This window comes from Homo sapiens, chromosome 1 (assembly GCF_000001405.40).
Source record: "Homo sapiens chromosome 1, GRCh38.p14 Primary Assembly".
NCBI classification, from domain to species: Eukaryota; Metazoa; Chordata; class Mammalia; order Primates; family Hominidae; genus Homo; species Homo sapiens.
The window spans coordinates 24,447,563-24,474,737 of NC_000001.11; the positions used below are offsets into that span (position 1 = coordinate 24,447,563).

The window sequence follows — 27,175 nt, forward strand, 5'->3', positions numbered from 1 at the left end:
AAAGCAGAACTTTGCCAAAAGAAAAAAGTAGAGACTTTGGAGCTACTGCCAAGAAGACCAAATGACAGACTGAATTTCAATAGTCTTAATGATGGGGCACGGGGGTTAGGGCTGGTTCTAAGACCACTATAGAAGTTTGCATCCCTTTGGGAATACTCTAGGTAATCCTAGGATGAGAGCCGTGCTAGTCCAAGCAGTGCCCTGTGTGACTTGGAAAAAGAAGGCCCCTCTGGGCATCTGTAGTTTTGTAGGCACAAGCCTTGATGAGCAGACCATGGGCTGGATTTTAGCCCATCTCACCTATTGAGCCAGGTGCCCTTGTGCAGTGAGCAACCTGCACAGCTGAATATGGCTGTTTTACCTGGAGTTCCATTACATTCAGCAAACATTCACTCAGTGCTAGACCTGTGTTGGACGCTGCAGGTGTGGAGATGAGTAAGACCCATCCCTGCCTGAAGAAAACTTTAGATAACAGACCTACTTTATTGAGTTTAACCGTGGCTCATTCATTCATTGAACAATTGAACAACCGTTTTTTGAGCACCTCCTACATTTACGAGGCCTAGTACTGAGAATAAAGATAAAAGACATTTAACATGGTATCACATTTTCTCTAGACAGTGGGATGAAATAGGCAAAGTTAGTTCTATCCCAGAAAAGTCCAGAGGCCTGTGGTCACCATAAGTGTGTCTTAGAACTCTCAGCCATTTTTTGGCTGCCTGGGGCTGGGCCGGACCTTGGAGGCTTTTCACCAACCTTACAGAGTTCAATAGGAGTGTGACAAGACTCCAGGGGAGAGATAAGAGCCATGCCACCTGGACCACTAACAGTTCTCTGACAGGTCTGTGGCGTAGAATATTGATAGTAATTATATAGTTATTATATAGTTCCCTTGGCGTTAGGTTAAATAGCCAGTTGAGAAAGGATGAGGTAATTTTTAAAAGGTACGTGTTGAGCTCTGAAGGTTTGCCTTTATGTTTTATTTTATTTGTTTTTTTAGTTTGCCCATAAAGTGATTTTAGCTTTAAAATGTTACCTGTAAAATGCACATTAAAATCACAGTGCAATACCATCATGGCTAAAATGAAAAAGACAAAATGTAAGTGTTGACAAGAATGTAACTAGAACTGTCTTACTCTACTGGTGGGAGTGTAAATTGGTACAGCCACTGGGGAAAAACATTTGACACTAACTACCAAACTGAACATCCACATATCCTATGGAGGAATTCCACCTCTCATTTTATACTCAACAGAAATGCATACATGTGTTTCTCAAATGACATGTACGAGAATGTTCACAGCAACATTATTTTTTATAACTCCAGGCTGGAGACTCCTCAAAAGCCCCCCAGCAGTAGAATGGATAAATTGTGTTGTATTCACACAGTGGACCACTGTACACAGTGAGAACGAATGAACTGCCACTGTGCCCCACAACGCAGACGAATCTCAGAAACATCATGCTGAGTCAAAAGAGATCACACCGTATGGGTCCATTTGTATAAAGCACAAAGCTAGGCAAAGCCATCAGTGCTGTTACAGGTCAAGATAGTGTAACCCTGAGGGTGGGGTCTAGTAATCAATTTCACAAATGAGAAATTTCAGTATCTGGCTAATGTTCTCTTTCTCCATCTGGGAGCTGGTTTCATGAGTGTGTTCACTTTGGGAGAATTCCTCAAGCACTTTTTGTATGCATGTTATACTTCATTAAAGTTTTTTATTTTTTTACATTAATTGTTTTTTTAACAAAATTAAGGAAAATCATTTATTTTTTAAAGTAAAGAAAAACCAAAAATACAAACAATACCAGGTCATGGTATGTTGCAGGAGAAGCCTGTTTTTTCATGGCTGAGAACGTGTACTGTATCTTGGGCCTGTTGTTGCAATGAGTCCGTGACAGCCTCTCTTCCCCGCAGGGCGCTACGTCTTGTCCTTTGTTGGCTGCGGTTTGGCTGTCGTGGGTACCTACCTGCTGGTGACATTCGCACCCAACAGTCACGAGAAGATGACAGGCGAGAATGTCACCAGGCACCTCGTGAGCTGGCCTTTCCTTTTGTACATGGTAAGAGAAGCCTCCAGTCGTTCCCCCTGAGATGGCAGGAGGGAGATCAAGTCCTAGAAACCAGAAACGTGAATACCCAGCAATAGGGGATTCCGTGAGTTGCGGCACATTTTACCAGCATGAAAGACCGTGCTTCTGGAGAGTACACAGCTCATGGCGAAATGCTTGTTTCATTTATGTAATATCAAAACTCTACTGGTGGGAGTGTAAATTGGTACAGCCACTTGGGAAAAACATTTGACACTAATTACCAAATTGAATATCCACATATCCTATGGAGGAATTCCACCCCTCATTTTATACTCAACAGAAATGCATACATGTGTTTCTCAAATGACATGTATGAGAATGTTCACAGCAACATTATTTTTTATAACTCCAGGCTGGAGACTCCTCAAGTGCCCCCCAGCAGTAGAATGGATAAATTGTGTTGTATTCACACAGTGGATCACTGTACACAATGAGAACGAATGAACTGCCACTGTGCCCCACACAGTAATATCAAAACCATTATGATGTCAGTTTTATTTTTTAGAGGTGTGTATAGGTATGTGGTCATGTAATATACCTAGGAAGGCCTGGATGGGAAAGCAAATTCCATCAGTAGTTGGCTCTGGGAGATAGTGTTATGACTCAGTTCTTATTTCCTCTTCATCTTTATGAATTGTCCAAAATTTCTACAGTAACCATTTCAAACTTTTATGGTAAGGGGAAGAAAAAGTTAAAACTGTAAACCATTTAAGAATGTTATTTTATTTTTTTTCCCAGTATCACACTGCTGATAGAAGCCCAGGAGACACGGGAAATTTTGTCTCCTAACCCCTCCGCCAGAGCTCAGTCCTCTGCCCCAGTTCTATCCCATTTTAAGTCTATAAATCAACTGATTAAGGAAAACATCTAAAGTATGTGATAAAGCTACTGGTACGTTCTTGTTCCATGCCCTGCGCTGTGCTAAACACATTTTTATGTATCATCTCAGATTCTCTTAACCCTGTAAAGTAAATGTTCTTCCCATTTTATGGGTGAGAAAACCAGGGCTCTGAGAGGTTAGCTGACCTGCTCAGAGTTCATAAAAGCAGGGTTGGATTTGAAGGCCGGGCCCACCTGGCCTCAGGTGCCATCTTCCTTCCCCGTGGCCTGCCGACAAAGGTGTTCACTGTTTTCCTCTGACATAAACAGCCTGGTCTCTGATTGAGTCTAGAGGCCCTGGAACATCCTTTTTCCTCAGATTATCCACAAGGCAGAGGATCACTTCCCCTGAAATGGGGGCTGTGTCATTTCCCAACAGGCAGCCAGCCCCAGCATGTAGTTGGTGACAGAGCAAAAGACCGCCTCCTTGGGCAAAGCGTTACCCCAGAACAGGCCTTTCACTCAGAGGATTGAAGCCCAAGACTTCCTAAGTGCTGTGTGGCCTTAGCCAAGTCGCTTTCCTTCTCTGTTTCCCTCTCTGTAAAGTGGCAAGAATCTCTGGACTTAAAATTGCTATTGGGAGATCCAGGAAGTAGCATTTAAGTCACCCAGAAGGTGGTAGATGCTCAGTGAATGATTCTGTTGTCTTACTTCATCATGACTGGGAGGCAGTGCTGCCAGCTGGAGAGATTTGGCCAAACCAAATTCAGTCAATATTTATTGAGCGTCTGCTGTGTGCTAGACACTATGGTTATAAAAAATAAATGAGACATGCCCACAGTACTCACGGACTGTTGGGAGGCACCACATATGCACAGCCATCTCATGATATAATGTCCAGTGCTATTCCAGTGTTCATTTTAGAATCATGGAGAACGGGCCACATGTGGTGGCTCACACCTATAATCTCAGCACTTTGGGAGGCCGAGGTAGGAGGATTGCTTGAGCCCAGGAACTTGAGACCAGTGTGGGCAATGTGGCAAAACCCCGTCTCTATTTGGAAAAAAAAAAGTAAAAATTAGCCAGGTGTGGTGATGCATGCCTGTATTACCAGCTACTAAGGAGGCTAAGGTGGGAGGATAGCTTTGAGCCCTGGAGGTCAAAGCTGCAGTAAGCCATGATCACAGTACTGCACTCCAGCCTGAGTGACACAGTGAGACCCTGTCTCAAAAAAAGAAAAAGAAAAAAAAAATCATGGAGAATGGCTGAAGAATTGGGACCCCTCAAATGCAGGCACAGTGGTTGGGAATGTTGATGATTGACAGCACATCCACTTGATGAAGTATTCTGCAGCAATTAAAGATAATTATGACAACTTCACAAAACATGAAGATTGTTTATGGTAACTAAAAACAGCCCAGTACAAAATCGTGCATTGACTATAATGACAACTCGTTAAAATATGGATTCACTGGAACAAAGACAAAGAAGAAACGGGGAAATGAAAGCAGCTGTGTTTTATGGTCTCTAATTAGAAGGAATGTTTTAAATGTTTCAAAATGCCCATTAATGTTTCTGGGTTTTTTTTATACTAAATCAGCTTTGATAAGGGGTTTGGGATAGGCAAATGAGACTAAGCTGTTGTCAAAGTTTTCTGCTTTAGTTGCACTGGGCGCTAGGGCTGGCTTAACTTCTTGGGAAAGTGTTAGCAAATATCTGGGCTTTTAAGGGGTAGAAAGGAACAGTTGTTGATGCAAGGAGGGGGAGCTTCTCAAACTCGGACTTGCCATCGTCTAGTGGTAAGTTTCTACTGATAGAGCACCAGACAGTGTGGCCTAGCAGGAAAGTGCATGGGCCTGGGAGCCAGACTGTCCAGGTTTAAATTCCTCTGTGCCACGCCATCGTGGTAGTACCTGCTTCGTAGAGTTATTGTGCTGATTTAGTGAGTTTAACGTAGATAAAATGCTTAGAACACTGCCTGGCGTACAAGGAGACGTCATTTAGTGTAAGCTATGATTATGGGCCCATAAAAAGAATTCTTAACCCTACTCCACAGAGGGTTAACTAAGGTTTAGAGAAGTTAAGTGACTTACCCAAGGCCACACGACTAGTTTAGAGGCAGACCTAAGTTCCAGCCCAGGTCTCCCTGACTCCAAAGGCCTTCCTCATTCTACTCTGTGAAGCTTCACACTGGAAGCTTGGCTGGGAGCACAGGGAGTATATACTCATATTCTTTATTTATGTATTTATTTATTTTTTTGAGATGGAGCCTCGCTCTGTCTCCCAGGATGGAGTGCAGTGGCGTGATCTCAGCAATTCTCCTGCCTCAGCCTCCTGAGTAGCTGGGATTATAGGCAGATGCCACCACGCCCAGCTAATTTTTTTTTTTTTTTTTTTTGTATTTTTAGTAGAGACCGGGTTTCACCATGTTGGCCAGGCTGGTCTCGAACTCCTGACTTCAGGTGATCCACCCGCCTTGGCCTCCCAAAGTGCTAGGGTTACAGGTGTGAGCCACCGTGCCTGGCCTCACATTCTTGACCAAATAGGTTGGTGAACAAGTGTCTCCCTCTTGGACCAACCCATTGTTTTAATGGGGATGCCCATGGAGCAGTGGAGTGGGAAGAAACCATCTCAGCCTGATGCATCTTGGCCCTCCAAGAAAGAGTGGATATGAGAGCAGCACGTCACCCTCAAAGCTTCAGCCTCAGGACAACAGGGAATTCCTTCTCAGTACTAGCCAGGGATTAGAGAGATTCACTCTGTGTTTCCCTTTTCCCCTGAACGTCTAACAGTAGTTTGGGAAATGCTGAATCATAGCTCAGTCATTCCCTTTCAACCCTGTGACTCTGGTGATGGCCCAGCCCACCAGGGTCTCCCGGTCTCGCCTACTTCTGTGGTCCCCACTGACCCCCCTGCTTGCTGCCTTCCACAGCTGGTGGAGATCATTCTGTTCTGCTTGCTGCTCTACTTCTACAAGGAGAAGAACGCCAACAACATTGTCGTGATTCTTCTCTTGGTGGCGTTACTTGGTAAGTTGGCATCTGGATGATTGAGTTTTGCCACCACCAAGAAGCACCAAATGGAAATGTGGGTTTTGTTTGCAGAGCTGTAGCCGCTGGGCACAGAAGTTGCTTGAGACTGGCTGAGGTTGTTCTGTCTCCATCAGTGGCTCTGGGGAGCTGGGTCCCTGCTGACCGGAGGCAAACTCCTGTGCTCCAGGAGCCTCCAATCTAAAGGGAGAAAATAGCACTAAACAACTAGCCAAATTCATAGGTCATGTAAGTTTGGGCAATAACAATTCCAATGAGGAAGAATAAAGTAGAGTGAGGATGAGGTGAGTTAGTTTGTTTCAGAGACGGTAGTAGTAGAGCATGCCCCAGCGATTGAGCCCTGAAAAGATCCATGCAAAACCTATCAGAGCTTAGGGATTCATTCTGATTCAAAGGTAAAACTAGATTTTGTCATCTATTTTTTCTTTTCCTTTTAGAGGGATGGGTGCTGTGGAAGAGATAGCTCCTGAATCAGCTTGAGGCTAGAACTGCATATTAATTTTTCCTTTTTTTTTTTTTTTGAGACAGTCTTGCTCTGTCACCCAGGCTGGAGTGCAGTGGTACAATCTTAGCTCTCTGCAGCCTTGACCTCCTGGCCTCAAGTGATCCCCCTGCCTCGGCCTCCCAAAGTGCCAGGATTACAGGCATGAGGCCCTGTACCTGGCTAGAACTGCATATAATTTTATAGCTAAATAGAGCTGTGGGGAATCCATCCTTCCTGAGGAGAAGCAGACAGAGGCGGAGGAGCAGGCTGGTGTCAGGGCTGGTGAAGCCTGCTACCGCGCTGCTCTTGAGTGGCCTCAGGCTAATGACCCTCCCTCCTTAAGCCACGCTGTCCACTTCTCTAAAGGGGGGGCCTATGAGAACATCCAAGTCACGGAAGGGAGTGGGGGTTAAATGAGATGTGCACAGGTGGCTAATATGTGCATTTTTCTTCCAACCTTCCTACTGTGTGCCCTACCACCGCCACAAGCCATCAACCAAATAGATACCTGTCACCGAAGACAGGGTTTCCTTAATTTTTTAACAGCTCTGTTGAGATATAATTTACATACCATAAAGTTCACCTGTTTAAAGTATACAATTCAGTGGTTTTTAGTATTTCATAGAGTTGTGAAACCATCATCCTAATCTAATTTTAGAACATTTTGTCACCCCCAAAAGAAACCCTGTGCCCATTAGCAGTCACTCCCTGTTCCCCTTTTCCCAGCCTCAGGCAACCACTAAGCTATCTTCTGTCCCTGTAGATTTGCCTTTTTGAACACCTTCATAAATAAAGTCGTATGCTTTGTGGCCTGATATGACTGGCTTCTTTCACTGAGCATGATGATTCTGAGGTTCACCCACATCATAGCATGAATCAGTCCTTCATTCCTCGGTGACTTTGTTTTCAAAGTGGATGGGAAGGATCACGGCCCTGAAACATCCTCTCCTCTTACGTAGGAAGGCCAGAAGGTTCTGAGGCCATTGGCCAATCCCCTTCTGACTAAGAAGGACTACCTGATGACAAGTGCCTAAGTGGTTGCTGACGTTTGGAAACAGTAGCCTAATGGGTGAGGAGCCCAAGAGACACTGCGTGTTGGGGGTGTTGGCAGGAGAAAGCGAAATAAACCAAAGCTGAAGAATAGGAAAGCAAAGCACAGCAGCAGGGACCGGGGGCTTCACCTGGACCACGCTTGGGGGCTGTCTCTAACTCCTGTTTGGCAGGGCAGTCTGAAAGTCTGCAGTTAGAAGACATTTCTGAACAGTAGGGTGGAGCAAGGGTCTCCACAGGGAGGTGAGCAGGATGCTTCGCTGGGTACACAGAGAGAATATTAGAACTTCAATCATTTTTTCTCTGCCTTTTAAATTATATTCCTGTACAAATTTTATAACATGCCTACCATTTAAGTTCAGGGTCACATGACTTTAATTTGAAAACAGATACACACATATTGGAAATGTTTGCACATATGCACAGGGGTGTGCATTCCAAAACACTGGAGAAATGTTTTTAAAAATACAAGTGACCAGCTGGGCGCGGAGGCTCACGCCTGTAATCCCAGCTATTAGGGAGGCAGAGATGGGAGGGTAGCTTGAGCCCAAGAATTCAAGACCTGCCTGGGCAATATAGCGAGACCCTGTTGTCCACAAAAAGGAAAAAAAAAAATACAACAACAACAAAAAATACAAGTGACTGAGCACTAAAAAACCCAACAATTCCTAAGCTGTTTACCCAACACATGTTTTTCCTGTGGTTGCCATGAGACTGGTAAGTTCGTTGATCCACTCGGATCCTTTTGGCCACAGTGCTGGGCACTCCGGGCCTCAGAGAACTGAACTTACTGCCCATGCTTGGCAGTTTAGAAGTGATGTCTAGGATTACCTTCAGGGGGTTGGCTTTCCTCCCTCCTTTAGGATGTAGTCAGCACAGAGCATGGGAGTCCATGGGAGAGGTGCACACGAGACCCAGTGCAAACGGCGTCTGTCACTGTGCAAACTGCCGGCTTGACTCTGTTCCTGTTCCCTCCCCTCTGTCTCCCCAAGTCCTTTGGGGTTATAGACTGGCTTTCCGGACCTAACTCTCTGCATTTCCCTGAGGCTCCCCATTCGCCCTTGTCTCCCATCTGCAGGCTCCATGACAGTGGTGACAGTCAAGGCCGTGGCTGGGATGCTTGTCTTGTCCATTCAAGGGAACCTGCAGCTTGACTACCCCATCTTCTACGTGATGTTCGTGTGCATGGTGGCAACCGCCGTCTATCAGGCTGCGTGAGTTACAAATCCTTTTCCTGCTGGGCCCTGCCATTCGGGCTGCTTCTCTTTTGGGGGCCTGATGACGTATGCTGTGAAGCCACAAGGAGGCCAGAACATGCCCCAGGGCCTGGCATCCAGCATGGAGAGAGGAGCTGCTAATTTGCTGAGTTGTCACCTGGAGGGACACCTGCCACTCAAAAGACGAAGCCAGGCCAGGCTCAGTGACCCACGCCTGTAATCCCAGCTCTTTGGGAGGCTGAGGTGGGTGGGTCACTTGAGGCCAGGGGTTTGAGACTAGCCTGGCCAACATGGTGAAACCCCGTCTTTACTAAAAATACAAAAAAATAAAATAAAATTAGCTGGGCATGGTGGCACATGCCTGTAGTCCCAGCTACTCAGGAAGCTGAGACACAGAATTAAAAAAGAAAAAAGAAAGAAATACGAAGCCAGCAGTGGATGGATTTTTCCCCACTCCCTCAGAATGTGATAATTTTTGTTTGTTTGCTTGTTTGTTTGTTTTTTGAGATAGAGTCTCACTCTGTTGCCTAGGCTGGAGTGCAGTAGAGCCATCTCGGCTCACTGTAACCTCTGCCTCTGGGGTTCAAGCGATTCTCCTGCCTCAGCCTCCCAAGTAGCTGGGACTACAGGTGTATGCCACCACACCCGGCTAATTTTTGTATTTTTAGTAGAGACGAGATTTCACTTTGTGGGCCAGGCTGGTCTCAAACTCCTAACCTCAAGTGATCCACCCACCTTGGCCTCCAAAGTACTGGGATTACAGGCATGAGCCACAACACCTGGCCAGAATGTGAGAAATTTGTGGTTGGAGGCAGCCTTACTTCCCATCTTCTCCGGGGCAGATGATCGTCTCAGGGGCCTCGGAAGCATGGCCATCCCTAGGAGGCACCTGCTTGTCTGCTGGGTTGGAAAGAAAAGTTGTCATTTCTTGACTTCAGTATATCACCTCCAAATCTTCCTGAGTGGAAGGCAAAGTGCCCCCTCCTCTTTCTAAGCATGAAGTTAAATAAAAGGCAGCAGCCTGAGGGCAGGGCCTGTGTCTTGTTTGCGTTTGAGTCCTGGAGCCCAACAGAGGGCCTGGGAGGAGAGGCTCTAGGAATCTTGTAGGTGACAAAACCTGTGTAGGTACACAGGACTCAGCAGCGCACAAGGCTGATTCAACCTGGGAAGCTCAGGCTCAGACTGAAGGTCCACCAGCTACATGGCCTCCAGGCACCATAGGAGCAGCTGCTGCTGGCCCGGTGTGAGCCCAGCTCTTTTCTCAGTGCTTTATGGAACCAGCTCATTTGGTCCTTACAACACTCCTTTGATGTACAGGATATTATCCCCATTTTGCATACGAGGAACTGATGCGGAGAGAGTAAGAGGCTAGAAAGTGGCGGAGCTGAGATCTGAACCCAGGTGTCTGGCTCCCCAGCCCATGCCCTCACTGCTCTGCTCTTCTGTCGCCTACTCAGCTTCTCCAAGACAGATTCTTCACCTGCTAATGAGAACAACAGTCCCTACCTAAGAGAATCACATGAAGCTCTTATGAGAATGTCTCTAGGGAAATGCCCGGTAAACATGAGCTGCTTCTATGATTATTGGCCTTGCTATTGTTATTTTGGTTATTATTTTTGGTCCCACTACAACAATTCCAGTCATCACCTGGAAGCCCCTGCCAGTCAAAGGCCCTGTGCTGAGCACTCCAGGTGTCACAAACATGGCTCAGATGCCACCGCCCACCTCCTAAGGAGCTACTCATTCCCTAGCCAGTGCAGCCCACTGAGGGTGCTCAGCACACAGAGATGATGAGGGTAGTCACTCACTGCCCTCAGGCATTCACGGCCCTGGCTGGGGGACAGCCAGTGAAGAAACTAGTACAGCCAAGCTGCATGCAGTGGCTCACACCTGTAATCCCAGCTACTCAGGAGGCTGAGGCAGGAGCATTTGAGCCCCGTAGTTAGAGGCTGTGGTGAGCTGTCATTTTGCCACTGCACTCCAGCCTAGGCCACAAAGCGAAGTAAAAAAATAAAAGCAATTGAGTGGTGAGCATGGTGTAAGCAACTATGCAGAGAAAGGGCAAAGAATATCTTCCAAAACAAGGGTATTGTTTATCATAGATGGAGTGATTAGGAAGGACTCTAATTTTCTCTTTTTCCTGTATTTATTTCAGTGATCACATTATTTTCAAATTAAAAAGAAATTTTGTTTAAAAGAATAATTATGACACTAGGCAGAACGTGATTAGTGCTGTAAGAGTTTCTGGGGGCAGGGGTATAAGAGATGCAGGAATGGCTCTTTTTAGTGGGGTGGGGATACGGGGGGTGAGGAGAAGGGCATTTCAGGTGACAGGAGCCGTGCAGCCAAAGGTGTGAGACCATGATGGCATGGTTCAATTGGGAAATGGGGATGGGCCTTAGCTGTGTGTCTAGGGGAAGAGTGGGAATCAAGTATGGGCCCCAGACTAGGGATACACAATGTCCTGTAACATGAGGGTGGCATTTTTAGAAACCCAAGGAACATTCCTAAATGTATCATCTTCATATTTCAAACCAAACTCTACTGTTGTCAGCTCTTAGCCTTTCCAACGTCTCCACAGCCCACTGACTGGAGTGCTTTTGTGTTGAAGGTTTTTGAGTCAAGCCTCACAGATGTACGACTCCTCTTTGATTGCCAGTGTGGGCTACATTCTGTCCACAACCATTGCTATCACAGCAGGTAAGGGTGACCCATTGCTAGATTTCTGTCTTCTACTTTAGCAGCAGGGTATTATCCCAGGGCAGAGGGAGGCTGATTCTGCTGACTTGTTCTCCCCGTAGAGTGATTTATGGGTTCATGGAGAATGTGCAGGATTTCCAGACAGAGAGACCCGGGTTTGTATCCCAGCACAGACGCACATCAGCTCTGCAAACATCACTTAACCTCTCTGAGCCTCAGCTCCACATTCATAAAATGGGAGTGATAACACTTAGCTCCTAGAATTGTAATGGGTATGATCCAAATGTGCCCTATGCCATACTGTGTGTACTTTAACAAGTTTTGCTATCTTCTAGCTCCACAACCCCCACTGGCTAAGTGACCACAAATCTCTTCTGTATAATTTTAGAGATTATGAATATGCATAGCACTGCAACATCATCAATGCTCAATAAGTGATCATTAGCATTACAGCCCCCTTTTCCTCTATTTCACCTCTAATTTTTTTTTGCATTTTCTTTCTGTAGTGGCCTCAGAGGCTGCAATCATATAAAGCTGTTTGTTAATTTGTTTAAATGGCATAATAGGTGACTAAAATCTTCAGAGTAAAAAATCCAATAAGAACTAAGTGCTTTCCTTTGGTGAAAGCCTGGCTGTAAAGCCCTATGCTCTGCCAACACTTAAGACAAGTGGTGCCGCAGTTCCTGTCTACACAGGAGGAACACACGAGGCGCACAGCTTCCAGGGCCCATGCTGTGAGCAGCACCAGGGGCCATGAGGCATTGACCCAGAGCAGCCAGAAGCCATAAGCTAAGTCAGGGTCAAGAAGCTTGGTCAAGAAGCGTGAAGTCCAGTCAAGGTTGAAAGGAATCACAAACACCATGGTTGAGTGAGAACAGAAGTCAAGGCAGGGAATCAGGAGCTCAGGAATACAGCTGGAGGCCTGTGTGGGTGAGATGATTCTGGACAAAGGCTGGCTCAGGGCAGGCGCAGTAGGCCCACCCCACTCCCATACCACAGGAGTAGACCCACAGACTTGGGATCTACTGGCCACATGAGGTTAGAAAGCTCTAACAGCATAAGCACAAAGCCTTGTTTATCTATCTTAAGAAAGATGGAGGGGAGATGACTGCAGGCACAAACTGGTAAATAGGGTCTGTGGTTTGGTTAGTAAGTGTTCATTGTCGTTTTCCTGCTTTGATTATGCACTGTGGTTATGGAAGATATGACTGGGGAAAGCTGGAGGAAGGGTGCATGGGAACTCTACACCATTTTTGTGAGTCTAATATTATCCCCCAATAAAAGTTAAAAAACAACATGGAGATCAGAGGGGTCTAAGGTGGAAAAAAGTTGACAACCTGATCCCCTAAATGGCTTTTATTCCTTTCTTCTTGTAAGGCACAGTCATAAGTTTTGATCATTTTAGTTTCCTAAATGGAAGAGAGCTTAGCCAAATCCTAGACAGACTGGCAGATGGGTGATTTGAAAACAGCTCAGCGGTATTTTCTATGATTTGCTGCTGCAGGTGCAATATTTTACCTGGACTTCATCGGGGAGGACGTGCTGCACATCTGCATGTTTGCACTGGGGTGAGTTCTGTCCTGCTTGCCAGCCCCAAAACATTGTGTGTAGAATTCCAAGCAGGTTGCCCCTCTCTCTCCCTTATTGCTACAGCCGCCCCATCCTTTAGAGTCAGAGGAGCTGTGGGGTTTTGGAGCTTTGTCCCCAGAGGTGAGCGTTTTATTCCTCTAAGGGCTTTATCTTCCCCTTCTCTTTTGGACTCTAATCTCTTTGGCATTTCTCAAATATCACATTTTGACACATGAAAAGTCTCTCAACCTCACCTCGGATCTAAGAAATGCATATTGAAGCTACATGAGATACCATCATTTTGCAAAAACTAACAGGATTAATAGTATTCCACATTGGCAAGAAGATGAGGAGGCCCGCCTACTACCACACTGTTAGCATACTTGAATGTGGGAGGAAAATTTAACAACAGCAACAAAAAATCCAAACAAGCATACTTTTTGATACAGTATTCCATTCTAATCATTTATCTTGGAAAAATGCTTCAACAGGGATGCAAATACACATGTATGAGGCTATTTATTAATTTTTAAATTAGTTGTATAAGCAAACAATTGAAAACAATAGAAATGCTCAGCAGTAGAATACAAGTGTTAAAAAATTATGCCATATCCAGATAATAGCATGCCATGCTGCCATTTTGAAAACTTGAGGCCAGTCTGTAGGTGCTGACACAGATCCATGTCTAGAACACATTCATCAAAAAAAATCACAGGCTGGGAGAGGTGGCTCACACCTGTAATCCCAGCACTTTGGAAGGCCGAGGCAGGTGGATTACCTGAGGTCGGGAGTTTGAGACCAGCCTGACCAACATGGAGAAACCCCGTCTGTACTAAAAATACAAAAATTAGTTGGGCATGATGGTGCATGCCTGTAATCCCAGCTACTCGGGAGGCTGAGGCAGGAGAATCACTTGAACCCGGGAGGCGGAGGTTGTGGTGACCCGAGATTGCGCCATTGCAGTCCAGCCTGGGCAACAAGAGCAAAATTCCGTCTCAAAAAAAAAAAAAAAATCACAAACTTTTAAAAATTTGGCCTTGGCCGGGTGCAGTGGCTCGTGCCTATAATTCCAGCACTTTGGGAGGCTGAGGCAGGTGGATCACCTGAGGTCAGGAGTTTGAGTCTAGCCTGGCCAACGTGCTGAAACCCCGTCTGTACTAAAAATACAAAAAAATTAGCCAGGCATGGTGGCAGGCACCTGTAATCCCAGCTACTCGGGAGGCTGAGGCAGGAGAATCACTTGAACCTGGGAGGTGGAGGTTGCAGTGAGCTGAGATCATGCCATTGCATGCCTGGACAATGAGAGCATAAGTCTGTCTCAAAAAAAAAAAAAAGTGGCCTTACCCTATAATCCAGCAATTTCACCTCTAGATTCTTTACCCAAAAGAAAGAGTACATCTGTATTAGTCCATTCTCATGTTGCTAATAAAGACATACCTGAGACTGGGTAATTTATAAAGGAAAGAGATTTAATTGACTCACAGTTCAGCATGGCTGGGGAGGCCTCAGGAAACTTACAGTCATTGCAGAAGGGGAAGCAAACACGTCCTTCTTCACATGGCAGCAGGAAGGAGAGAAGTGCCAAGCAAAGGGGGAAAAGCCCCTTATAAAGCCATCAGATCTCGTGAGAACTCACTCACTATCATGAGAACAGCATGGGGGTAACTGCTCCCATGATTCAGTTACCTCCCAGCAGGTCCCTCCCATGACACATGGGGATTGTGGGAACTACAATTCAAGATGAGATTTGGGTGGGGAAACAGCCAAACCATATCAGCATCTGTTGACAAAATGACTCGCACATGAGTATTTATATAGTAGCTTTATTCATCATAGGTCTAAATTGGAAACAACCCAAATGTCTACCAACAGGAGAGTAGGAAAAACATAGTATATTCAGACAATGGGTTCTACGCAACAATTAAAATAATGAGCTATAAGCCAGGTACAGTGGCTCACGCCTGTAATCCCAGCACTTTAGCAGGCCAAGGCGGGAGGATCACTTGAGGTCAGGAGTTCGAGACCAGCCTGACCACAGTGGCAAAACCCTGTCTCTACTAAAAATACAAAAATTAGCCAGGCGTGGTGGCTTGCACCTGTAATCCCAGCTACTCGGGAGGCTGAGGCAGTATAATGGATTGAACCCGAGCGGCAGAGGTTGCAGTGAGCCAAGATCACAGCACTGCACTCCAGCCTGGGCGACAGAGCAAGACTCAGTCTCGAAAAAAAATAATGAACTACTAATACATACAATAAAGAAGATGAATCTTGACCAAGCATGGTGGCTCATGCTTGTAATCCCAGCACTTTGGGAGGCTGAGGCGGGTGGATCACCTGAGATCAGGAGTTCGAGACCAGCCTGGTGGTTTGCCAACATGGCAAAACCCCATCTCTACTAAAAATACAAAATTACAAAATACAAAAATACTAAAAATACTAAAATACAAAATACTAAAAATACAAAATACAAAATTTTGTACTAAAAATACAAAAATTAGCCTGGCATGCTGGCACGTGCCTGTAATCCCAGGTACTGGGGGGCTGAGGCAGGAGGATCGCTTGAACCTGGGAGGTGGAGGTTGCAGTGAGCCGAGATCCTGCCACTTGACTCCAGCCTGGGCAACAGAGCGAGACTCCATCTCAAAAAAAAATCAAAAAAATAAAAAAGGAAGATGAATCTTAACATTTTATCAAATGAAAGAAACCAGACATAAAAGAGTACATATTGTATGATTTAACTTACATGAATTAAAGAACAGACTAATTTCATCCATGGTGAGAGAAGTCAAGATAGTAGTTACCTCTGGGGAAGGGCTGGCATGAAATGGAAAGGGGCCCAGGAAAACTTTCTGAGGGGGATGGACGTATTTTCTGTCTTGAACTGGTTGATGATTCCCCAAGTAAAATTCATTCAGCTAGACATCTAGGGTTTGTGCATTTTGCTGCTTATAAATTATACCTTAATGTTTAGAAAGTATGCTTGTTTATGTAAGCTATAGGAAAAAGGGAAAAAACAAAACAAAAAATAACCTGGAAGGCTATACACCTACCTGGCCGAGTGAGACCAGGAGTACAGGGACTCTCCAATTTTTATTGATTTTTACTATCTATACTTCAGTAATGATTGAAATGAATGACTTCAATTTAAGAAAATGTTTTAAAAGGCAAGCTTCCGAGAATCCTGATTGAATGGAAGTGAAGAGCCATGAGAAGCTCGCCCAGGAGAGTCTAATTTATTCTGATTACAGCTCATGGAGAGTGTAGGGCATGTGAGGCCACTCCAGCTATTGTTATTCAACTTGCATCTGCCCCTGCTGATCCCCTGAGAGGCTGGCAGCCTCTCAGGGCTCCTTGGGCGGTGAGCCCTCCTCCGCAGCCTGCAAGCCTTTTTACCTCTTTCCATCACCTGAGCCTGAAAGTGTGCCTGCCCGACCTTGCTCCTGGCCTTATTTCTCTTCCTATCTTATCTCCATTCCGCAGGTGCCTCATTGCATTCTTGGGCGTCTTCTTAATCACGCGTAACAGGAAGAAGCCCATTCCATTTGAGCCCTATATTTCCATGGATGCCATGCCAGGTAAGGTTAAAGCCCCGTGGGTCTAGCTGAACATCCATATAGAATGACTGCTACTTCCTGTTTAAAAAGAGACAACCAACTGCTGTGCTGTGCCTTTATCGTGTGACTGTTCTCTCACTGTCTTTTTTCTTTTCTTTTTAATTTTGTGCAAAAGGGTAGGCAATGGCTGAGGCACCTCGGTTGGTTTTGAGCACATCTTGCCAGTTCTGTGTCTATTTGGGGATCTTTTAAATAAAATTCTGATTCATACTCAATATAATTAGGATCTGCAGCCCCAGGCTTCATGCCTGCAAATGGAAAAATCCATTCATCTAGTTGGAATGAAATGATCAGAAAGGGGAAGGAGAATGAGTGGAATGAAATTAAAATATTATAATCTCACTCCCTGGATGCCACAAGGGAGTGCATCATTCTGGAAAGCCTAATTTCCTAGCGAGCTAAGGATTCATACCGAGAAACACAAATTTAAATGTCTGTAAGCCCTGACAGTAACATAAGCATGTGAATCAGCCCAATACTGCCCAGCAGGGAGTGGTGGGACCTGCGGAGGACTGGAGAGTGCCTGTCTAGCCTAAAGGAATTCGGATTAGAAAAGTTAAGACATTGGACCAACCTCAGATTTGCTGACCTAAACTCTGTAGGTTGCTGGTGACCATTAGCTTTCACACTTAACTCAACATTTTAATTTTATTTATACAAGATGGAACTCTCTCTAAAACATAATCTCCTGTCCTTCATTAACACAATCTCATGAACAAAATATAAACACACTGATGGTCTAGAGGACTGCTTACTCGAGAGGTTTTCATGCTGTAACGCTGTGATGCAGGTGTGTTCTCAGGGTTGACTGGTGTGCCCCTACATTAAATGGCCCCAGGGTTTATGTGTCTACTTTTTATATTAGTTCCTCCTCTCTCGTTATTAAGCTGTTGTCTGTCCTTCTTGCTGTAGCCAGCCTGCCTGAGTATAGCAACTCAATGTCAATGTGCTCCTTCAACCCAGCTTGTTCAGATTACAAATAAAATCAAAATGAAGGAGCTCTGAGTTGGGGGCCTAAGATTTCTCCTAGGAGTTAAGTGCATGAGCTTTGGTGCATGAACTTTTTAAACGTCTAATCTGGCTGCTCAGATTCCTTTTTTGCTAACTTCCTTGTTTCTCGGCTGTGTTCCGGATAGATGAGGGCGCTGGATAGCTGAATTCCAGATAGGTGAGGTGTCAACTCTGTGTGTGCAAGTATGTGTATGTATATGTGTGTTTGTGTGTTTACAAACTATGTGTATATATCAATATCAGTATTTGTGTGTGTATATATATATATATATAGATGTATTTTCTGGTGGAAAATAGAAGGTAACCTAAGGTAGTCTTAGATATCAACATTCTGTGGTATGTTTGTGGGTGTGGCTCTCAGCTTTTTCTTTGTACCTTGTGACCAGTGGGAAGTCAGCTGTTGAATCAGGGAGACCCTGCCCTTGCAGTGGCTTGTCAGGACACTTCCGATTGTAGGTGTTCTGTACTGTGAAGAGCGTGGGCTTGGAGTTCAGATGACCTGGATTCAAATCCCAACTCTACCACCTTCCTGCTGTGTGACCTCCCAAGGCCTCTCATCCTCACTTGTAACTGGGATTCCTTCTTTCAGGCTAGTGGTCATATGTGTAAAGGCCTCTTGCACGGTGTCTGGGACATGGTAGATGCCTGGTTATATTTGGTTTCACTTCCCTTTTGCTTTAAAAACCTTTGGAAGTTTCACACACTTGTTTGACCTGGTGGCAGGTAGAACATGCAGAATAAAACTGCTGAACAGTCTCAGTCTAAACAGAGGTGCTTTTCCAGCCACTTGGTTTCCCTGGTCAGCATTAGGATCTTGCCTTTTGTCTACCTAGATTCATATCTTCACAACAGACAACTGCTGTTCAAGAGGTATTCAAATTCCAGAAATTTACCACATCACAATTTGGAGAGCCTTTGAGTAATTCAAGCACCTGAAAGACTTCTTAAAAATGAGATCGAGAAACAGCCCCTGACCTCCAGGAACTAGCCTGGCACTCTCAGCCAGGCCTTGGCCCTTTCCTGTGGAACAGAAACAATTTCACAGAACATCAGCAGCAGACAAGGCCACTCTGCAGCTGTGATGGATCAGGACACAAGCAGGTGGAATGGGAAGAAAAGGGTTTTTTTCCTAAAATTAAAAATAAATAAATAAATAAAAGAACACAAACAGGACTACTCTGCTAGCCTGACTAAACATAGACAAAAAATGGACATTGTCCAAATCATGAAAAACACCAAACATCCCTCTGACCTTGCTAATGTGAGAGACTGCCGCTTCTTTACCAGGCACAGCTTTAGCTTCAATCTAGGCATCTTCTAGGTAAAAGCTAAGATCTCCAATTATGGAATTAGCCCTGCTTCCTGACAGCATCCAACCCAAAGCAAAGCCTCACTTCCTTGAACCCTCCCCAAAAATCACCTAGTCCAAGCCAACCCCACAATAACTCCTTTCTAACCCCCTCTTACATGGTTCGTGGTTCCCCGCCGTGTACACCTCTCTCATTGCAATGTGTCAATAAACCCATATTTGTTAGACTTTAGGTGTATTCCTGTTGGTCTCTGGCTGGAGGGCATTGACAAAATCCAAAAGGTAATCCAGGCCTGTTAAGCCAGCTCTCTTCCCTGAGAACGGGCACCTCCTCAGCTCTTCCACTTCCCTCTTCTGCCCTCCCCCAAAATCCAAAGCACAGACTCTTAAACTGTGCCCTTCAAAGAACCATCAGTTAAGTCTTATGCAATAGGGAGCCAAAGGGCCTTTCACAGACTGGGTCTTCCCAGGCCATTTGCAGAGTGGGTAAGAGCACTGCAGATCCCACCTTGGTCTCTGGTGGCAGATCCCACCTTGGTCTCTCATTAGCTGTGTGACCTTGGGCAAGTTACTTCACCTCTCTGAATCTCTTCTTATCCAGAAAATGAGGACAGTAGTTCATCTCTGTCATAGGATTGTTTAGGGATTAAGTGCAGGTATATAGGGAAGCCACACAGCATTCAGTTAAGAGTATGGACTTCCGGCCAGGCACGGTGGCTCACGCCTGTAATCCCAGCATTTTGGGAGGCCGAGGCGGGCAGATCACAAGGTCAGGAGATCGAGACCATCCTGGCTAACACGGTGAAACCCCGTCTTTACTAAAAATACAAAAAAAAAAAAATTAGCTGTGCGTGGTGGCGGGTGCCTGTAGTCCTAGCTACTCGGGAGGCTCAGGCAGGAGAATGGTGTGAACCCAGGAGGTGGAGCTTGCAGTGAGCTGAGATCACGCCACTGCACTCCAGCCTGGGTCTGGGTGGACAGAGTGAGACTCCGTCTCAAAAAAAATAAATAAATAAAAAGTATGGACTTCCAAGTTGAAACCCCCGAGTTTGGACCCTGGCACTGCCTCTTACTAGCTGTGTGATCCCAGGCAAATTACATGCTTCATTTCTGCTGCTTCATTTTCGTTATTAGTCATCCTGAGGATCAAATGAGATAGAACTTTATAACTATTTGGAACAGTATCTGCCACCAATTAAATACTCAATACACATAAGCCATTGTCATTGCTATTGTTGTTACTGTTACTATTTAAAGTGCTTAGCCCAGTCAGGTGTTGTAGCTCACACCTGTAATCCCAGCTACTTGGGTGACTGAGGCAGGAGGATCATTTGAGCCCCAGGTATTCAAGACTAGCCTGGAAAACATAGACTCTACCTCAAAAAAGAAAGTGCTTTAGCCCAGTGCCCAGGGCATATTAAACAGTTAGATGTCAGCTGTTATTATCATCATAGTTTCATTGCATTCAATTTCTTATGACTCGGCCTGAAGGCAGAATCTGAAGTCTTAATTCCCTGGCAGGAAAAGTTGGCCTCAAAAGTAATCGGCCTGGCGAAATGGCTCACACCTGTAATCCCAACACTTTGGGAGGTGGGGCAGGTGGATCAATTCAGCCCAGAAGTTTGAGACCAGCCTGGGCAACATGCTGAAACCCCATCTCTCCCCCTCAAAAAAACCCACAAAAAATTAGCCAGGCATGGTGGCATGCACCTGTAGTACCAGCCACTCAGGAGGCTGATGTGGGAGGATCACTGGAGCCCCAGAGGTTGAGGCTGCAGTGAGCCAAGATCGCTCCACTGCACTCCAGCCTGGGCGACAGAGCAAGACCCTGTCTCAATAAATAAATAAATAAATAAATAAACAAACAAACTGCGTCCCTCCTGACCTGACTAGGGGAATTGTAGGACAAAGGTAAAGGAATTAAAGATTAAAGGCTTTGCCCTCAAATGTAAGTAGGAGTCCCTTGTCAAAGTACCCAGAAGTAATAATAAGCAAATCTCACCTTCCCCTATAAGTGGACCAGGGAATTTAAAGTTAAAGTCCAAGATGCTCCCTCTGGCATCAGGATGCATCTGTCACCTTCAGGTGCCCATGACACAAAAATTACCCTCTTTCCTCGACAGTGTAACAAAGTTTCCTGGTTCCTGATTTAATTCAGCAGTGAAGCATTGGCATCTACCACGTTCAAAGCACAGTGCTAGTTCCATTCCACCTGGGGCCCACACCGACATTCCCACCTCACTTTAGGCCAACTGAGGGTTCCTCCTGACAGCAGCTGGTCTGTGTGCATATTTCCTGAAGATTCATCCCTTGTTGCTTAGCAACCGTAATAGTTCCAGTGTATATTTGTGGGTGTTCTCTTTTAAATCTAAAGCATTCAGGAAATTGACAATGCACATGATTAGCTGCTGAGCACTATAATTAGTCTGTGGCGGGATAGAGGGAGATGCGGCCTCCTTGGCCCCCTTACCGCGTAATGATTTGGAGAAAATGGATTTCATTTCAGGTATGCAGAACATGCACGATAAAGGGATGACTGTCCAGCCTGAACTTAAAGCTTCTTTTTCCTATGGGGCTCTGGAAAACAATGACAACATTTCTGAGATCTACGCTCCTGCCACCCTGCCAGTCATGCAAGAAGAGCACGGCTCCAGAAGTGCCTCTGGGGTCCCCTACCGAGTCCTAGAGCACACCAAGAAGGAATGAGACTCGCCTCCCTCTATTTATAACTGTCCCCTCCAGGCTGACAGTGGTTCAACCCTGAATCCTAAAACTTGCCTTTCAAGTCTCATTTTGTTTCTAACTGAGAACTCTATGGATGATGATCTCAAAAAGCCTTTGTCTCTGGGAAAGGATGCGTTATCTTGGTCTTGGAAATTTCAAATGATGAGGGTTGGGGGATGGAAGCATTATTCCAGGTGGACGGGATAGAATCCAGCCTCTGCCTGGATTAGCCCAGGGGGATTTGGAAAGCCTTTCTACCATCCTTGAGGATGGTAACTGAGCTTCCTCTGACAGTGACCAAAGGATGCTGTATCCTTCAGAGCTAAGGCAAGACAGAGAGTCTGCTGTTAATTCTCAAATCCAGCGAAAGGCTGGACATCTCTAAATCTCGTCTTCCTCCACCTCATGTGCATGCCTGATCTCACCCTGACACTCCTGATGCCGCATCTGTGATAGCACTCGTGTTGCCTTCACATGGCAGGCTGGGCCAACCCTGGGTGGAAGGTTCTGACATTTGTGTTTTCAGAAATGTACATCTGCCTTCCAGTCATCTGTGCCCTTCTAGGGAAGATGTGCTTGATATGTTCAAATTGGATCTACTCTGAAAACGAAACTTGGTTTTGGTCCTGTGAGGACTACTTGTTTGTCCACCTCCTCCACCAAAGGAATTAGGAAGTTAAGAGAAGGGGAAGAATATGGAGGATAGGAGAGGGTGATGATGCTTTAGCCCATTAAGGAAGAAAAGTTCCCCTTACTCTTACAAAAGGTGATTGCACCACTTAAAAAAGGATAGGTAGAAAATCTGGCCATTTTATGTGTTATTTTTTTCCTGCATACCAGTGCCCCCTGGAAAGATGGGGATGCTCATTTCAGAGACAGCCTCTTCACCTGTCCTCCGTCTCTCCATTACAGAGCCACAAGCCAAGCTTGAGTTACTGGTTAATTTCCTTGAAGTCAATAGAGACTCTCTGGGTCCTCATCCCCATGCATATATGTCTGGGAGAAGCAAGCATTCTCCAAAACAGGGCTGTTGCTTTCTTCCTGGCCGCATATGTGACTGTCTTCCCCTAGACTGATGGTATACTTTTGAGAGGGGCGGATAAAGGTTTGCAAACTTTAATGGGCATAAGGATCCCCTAGAAGCATATGTAAAATGCAGATTCCTGCACCCCAACTGCAGACACTGTTAAGTGGGACTGGAGTGGGGCCCACGGGTCTGCATTCTTAACTGGTACCACCAGTGATTCTGATGCGATGCTTCAATCCCGAGATTTCACATCTGGAAAGCCTAAGAATTTACAAAGATGTTCTGCTAAAACCCCCAGGGCCCCATGCAGTCTTGCTAGAAAATTTCCTCCCTAGGGTTCCTTTGGAAGGTTAAATACTCCCCATAGGATCTGTGGCATTTCTCCATCCAATGAATACTACTTAGAGCTACACTCACCACTTCCCTAGACAGCCTTTAATAGGCATGATAACAGTGTTAATAGACCAGTGTGATAGATCACTTATCTTTATGGATTGTGCTTAATACTGATTTAGTATCTTGACTCCAAAAACTGACATCTGTTGTCTGTGATAACCACTTCTGTATTGCGTCTTAACCACTTCTGTATTGTGTGGTCTTAACTGCCTAAGGCGGCAATGGGCAGTGGGCCCCTTTCCCTTAGGATGGGTATCAATTCAACAATATTTATAAGGCATTTACTGTGTGCTAAGCATTTGGAAGACCCAGGCTACAAAATAAGACATAGTTCCTGCCCTCCAGGCCAGCAGAGGGAGGCACAAATACCCAGGAATCTCTGATGGGTGTGAAGTGCGGTCGTGGGCCACAGAAAATGACCGTCATGGAGACCCTGCTAAAGGTCGGACCCTGAGCCCAAAGGGGTATTCAGAAGTGGAGATGATTTTGGCCCCACTCATAGATGGGTGGCAAATCTAAGATTTGTATAAAGCATATAAAATAGGGTGATCACCCCCGAGGCAGAGGGGCCAGCATTTGCAAAGGCACAGAGCTAAGAGGAGCTGGGCAAAGAAAGGAAAGCCAGGGAAGGTGGTGGGAGATGAGTCTCAAAGCTAAGTAGTGGAAGCTGGGCACAGTGGCTCATGCCTGCAATCCCAGCACTTTGGGAGGCCAAGGCTGGAGGATCACTTGAGCCCAGGAGTTTTATATCAGCCTGGGCAACATAGCAAGACCTCATCTCTGCTAAAAATTAAAAATAAATAAATTAGCTGGGTGTGGTGGTGCATGCCTGTGATCCTAGCTACTCAGGAGGCTGAGGTGGGAGGATCGCTAGAGCCCAGAGAGCCAAGGCTACAGTGAGCCATGATCATGCTACTGCACTCCAGCCTGGGTGACAATGAGACCATGGCTCAAAAAAAAAAAAAAAAAAAAGATAAGCAGTGGAGGCCGAATCATGGAGGGTCTTGAATACCTGGCTAAGGAGTTTAAAGTGTATCCAAGAGGACGTGGGAGCCACTGATGGTTCATGAGGAAGAGAAGGGCAGGACCAGCACTGATTGAAAAGGAGGGCTTGTTCAGTGTGGAGGAAGAATCAGAAGGGGGAATAAGTTACCTTCTCCGAGCCTGCAAGAACAAAAAACAAAAAGCAGAAATTAAAATCAGGTTTCACTGCTATTTATATATTTCTCCTTTCCCAAATGATTTTTCTAAAGCTGGGAGTGGAGGCAGGAGGGAGAAACAGAAGGTGAGCAGGGAGGCTATTTAGATGTGTCAAACCCGGGTGATCATTAATAATTTGGGCATATATATGCTCCCAAACTTACTCTGCCCCCTTCCTTCCCTTTTTTTTTTTTTTTTTTGGTATGGGCCTTTTAGGCTTGGGCCAGCCAGCTTTCTTGAGATGAGTGAATAAAAGCGTATTGTAATTTCATGTCTGCTTCAGATCATGGGGACAGTGCCACCCAGGAACTGCTGCTGAGGCCTGGGAAGCTCCCTTGCCTTCGGGTTTGGAGCAGTGGCATCATCCCACCAACCTGAGCCATGAAAGGGCTGAGCAGAAAGTTAAATGGTAGTTTCCTGACTGGAAGCCACACGTAGGTCACTTGAGTAGTCAGGAAGCACAGTGGGTGTGGAGCCATCATCTGTCTTGGGCTGGTTCCTCCCAATCTTTGTCCAGTGGTATAAATGGACTGTCTGCTGATGGCCATACGCAGCACTGGCTGTTAAGATGGGGAAGGGGTACATCAGGATTCCACTCATAGCCCTGGTTCGTTATTGTTACTCATGGCTCTGACGTCCCCAAGCCCTCTTGAATGTTGCAAGCAATGTTAAATATCACACCTCGGTCTCCTTTTGAGCAGCCCAGGTACCTAAAGCAAGGTCACCAAACTTGGGTTTAAACTTCAGTTGCCATCACAGCAGGGTTCAGGTTATGCAGTTTTTGCAGTGTGGAGTTGAACGCTGGGTAAAGAAGGGAGAGCTGACTCTCCATTGCTTTTCTAGTGGAAACCAGCCAGTTTGACGGCACGGTGCGGATACAGGACTCCATCAGGCTAGTGTTGGGGAACCAGCCCGGCAGCCTTCCATGTGAATTCCAAAGCTGTTTCAACACTGGCTGATAGGCAGACAAAAGGTTACTTGTGTGTTTCTCTGAGAAGCGGTGTAAATGAAGTCACCTTAGAATATATTCTGTGCGGATGCTTATATTTTGTTAACTTCACGACTTATGGCATGTCTTATTTAAAAAAAAAAAAGTACTAGGTGCAAATAACATTATGAAGTGGTATTTAATTAAAAATCCATGCAGTGACAGCTGAGTTCGTGTCTTATGTTTGGCTAATACTTCCTAGAATTATCTAGAACAGTACTGTCTAGTAGAACTTTCTGCGATGATGGAAGTGTTCTATGTCTATGCTGCCCAACATGGTAGCCACTCTCCACAGGTGGCTGTTGAACACTTTAAATGTGGCTAGTGCAACCAAGGAACTGAATGTTTAATTTCATCTAATTACATTTCCATATAGTTCGTATATTAACAGTACAGATCTAGAGATGCCCATTATTGCAGCTGAGGCTCACTTGAGCTTCCCCTGCAACCTTCACCGTGGTTAAAAGCACAGACTCTTGGCCAGGCACGGTGGCTCATGCCTGTAATCCCAACACTTTGGGAGGCTGAGGCAGGCAGACCACCTGAGGTCAGGAGTTTGAGACCATCCTGACCAACATGGAGAAACCCCGTCTCTGCTAAAAATATAAAATTGGCCAGGCATGGTGGCACGTGCCTGTAATCCCAGCTACTCGGGAGGCTGAGGCAAGGAGAGTCCCTTGAACCTGGGAGGTGGAGGTTGCGGTGAGCCAAGATTGCACCATTGCACTCCAGCCTGGGCAACAAGAGGGAACAAGAGTGAAACTCCATCTCAAAAAAAAAAAAAAAAAAAGCACAGACTCTCTGTCTACACTGCTTGGATTTGATTCCTCTCTCACCTGTTAGCTGTGTAGCATTGGGCAGGTTACTTAACCTGTCTGTGCTTCATCTGTGAAACAGGAATAACAGCATTATTAAGGATTGTTTTAGGATTGGATGGGTTAATAGATGTAAAGTCTTAGAACTATATTGAGCATCCCATCAAGGCATTGTATTATATTGAAACAATGGGGTTTTTTTCTCTTTATTCTTTTTTAAATTATATAATGAACACTTTTGATCTTAAGTATTTCTAAGCACATATGTCTCTTCATTCCAAGTTTCCAATTTGCAAAGGCAGGTGTAGTATGGTACCTATATATTTATTTGTACAGTCACAAAAATAAAATACAGAGTCATATATACATACTCATATATTAAGCACTTACTGTATGCCACATGATATATTAAGACCTCATATTTATATCTCATTTCTCCTTTATAAAAGTTCCATGAGGTAAATTTTAATCATATCCTTTTACAGATGAAGAAACTGAGACTGACTGGGCATGGTGGCTTATGCCTGTAATGCCACCACTTTGGGAGGCCAAGGTAGGAGGATCACTTGAGCTCAGCAATTTGAGACCAGCCTGCACAACATAGCAAGACCCCATCTCTACTAAAAAAAAAATTAAAAATTAAAATAAAAATTAGCAGGCATGGTGGTGTGTGCCAGTAGTCCCAGCTACTCAGGAGGCTGAGGTGAAAAGATTGCTTGAGCCCAGGAGACTGAGGCTGCAGTGAGCCATGATTGCACCTCTGCATTCCAGCCTGGGCAACAGAGCAAGACCCTATCTCAAAAAGAAAAGAAATTGAGACTCAGGTCTCATAGCTGGTGAACAGCAGAGCCAGTATTTGAGCCCAGGACTGCCTGACTCCAAAACCTGAGCTCTTCCCTCACTGTGCTGCCTCTCCTGGTGTGGGCAAACAGGATTTTAATGGGAGTAAGGTCTGCCATGGGTTAGGACATCACCTTTGGCCCAGTTTCAAAGGAAGGTGCAGACTTGAAGGACAGAAGCTCATTAGCTGAGTCTCTGGGGACCACGTTTGCAATGGTCCCACCTGCAAACCAGATGAGGGAATAAAATTCAGTCTACCGGCCAGGTG

The 27,175-nt window shown here is 45.4% G+C and overlaps 1 protein-coding gene across 23 annotated transcripts in view, besides 2 other annotated features; it reads left to right on the top strand.

Moving 5' to 3' along the window:
* The window catches only part of NIPAL3 (NIPA like domain containing 3), a 59,460-nt gene extending 34,039 nt beyond the window's left edge, over window positions 1-25,421 (top strand). For 12 of the 23 annotated variants that reach the window (NM_001322854.2, NM_001322855.2, NM_001322856.2 and 9 more), the window contains 7 exons: window positions 1,919-2,064; window positions 5,846-5,942; window positions 8,576-8,711; window positions 11,326-11,414; window positions 12,919-12,982; window positions 16,464-16,558; window positions 21,424-25,414. In NM_001322854.2, the coding sequence (NP_001309783.1) occupies window positions 1,919-2,064; window positions 5,846-5,942; window positions 8,576-8,711; window positions 11,326-11,414; window positions 12,919-12,982; window positions 16,464-16,558; window positions 21,424-21,623 (827 nt within the window). In that variant the 3' untranslated portion in view covers window positions 21,624-25,414. Of the gene's footprint in view, window positions 1-1,918; window positions 2,065-5,845; window positions 5,943-6,491; window positions 7,263-8,575; window positions 8,712-11,325; window positions 11,415-12,918; window positions 12,983-16,463; window positions 16,559-18,441; window positions 18,777-21,423 lie in introns of those variants that run through there. The other 11 variants (XM_047425988.1, XM_047425991.1, NM_001330409.2 and 8 more) reach the window with 7 other exon arrangements.
* Window positions 8,251-8,763: an enhancer, noted in NCBI's record as "H3K27ac-H3K4me1 hESC enhancer chr1:24782303-24782815 (GRCh37/hg19 assembly coordinates)". NCBI's record gives its function as "activates a minimal SCP1, AML or CMV promoter by ChIP-STARR-seq in primed H9 embryonic stem cells {active_cell/tissue: H9 hESC(primed)}" and the evidence as "EXISTENCE:reporter gene assay evidence [ECO:0000049][PMID:30033119]".
* Window positions 10,047-10,548: an enhancer, noted in NCBI's record as "H3K27ac hESC enhancer chr1:24784099-24784600 (GRCh37/hg19 assembly coordinates)". NCBI's record gives its function as "activates a minimal SCP1, AML or CMV promoter by ChIP-STARR-seq in primed H9 embryonic stem cells {active_cell/tissue: H9 hESC(primed)}" and the evidence as "EXISTENCE:reporter gene assay evidence [ECO:0000049][PMID:30033119]".
* Window positions 25,422-27,175: the final 1,754 nt, after the last annotated feature.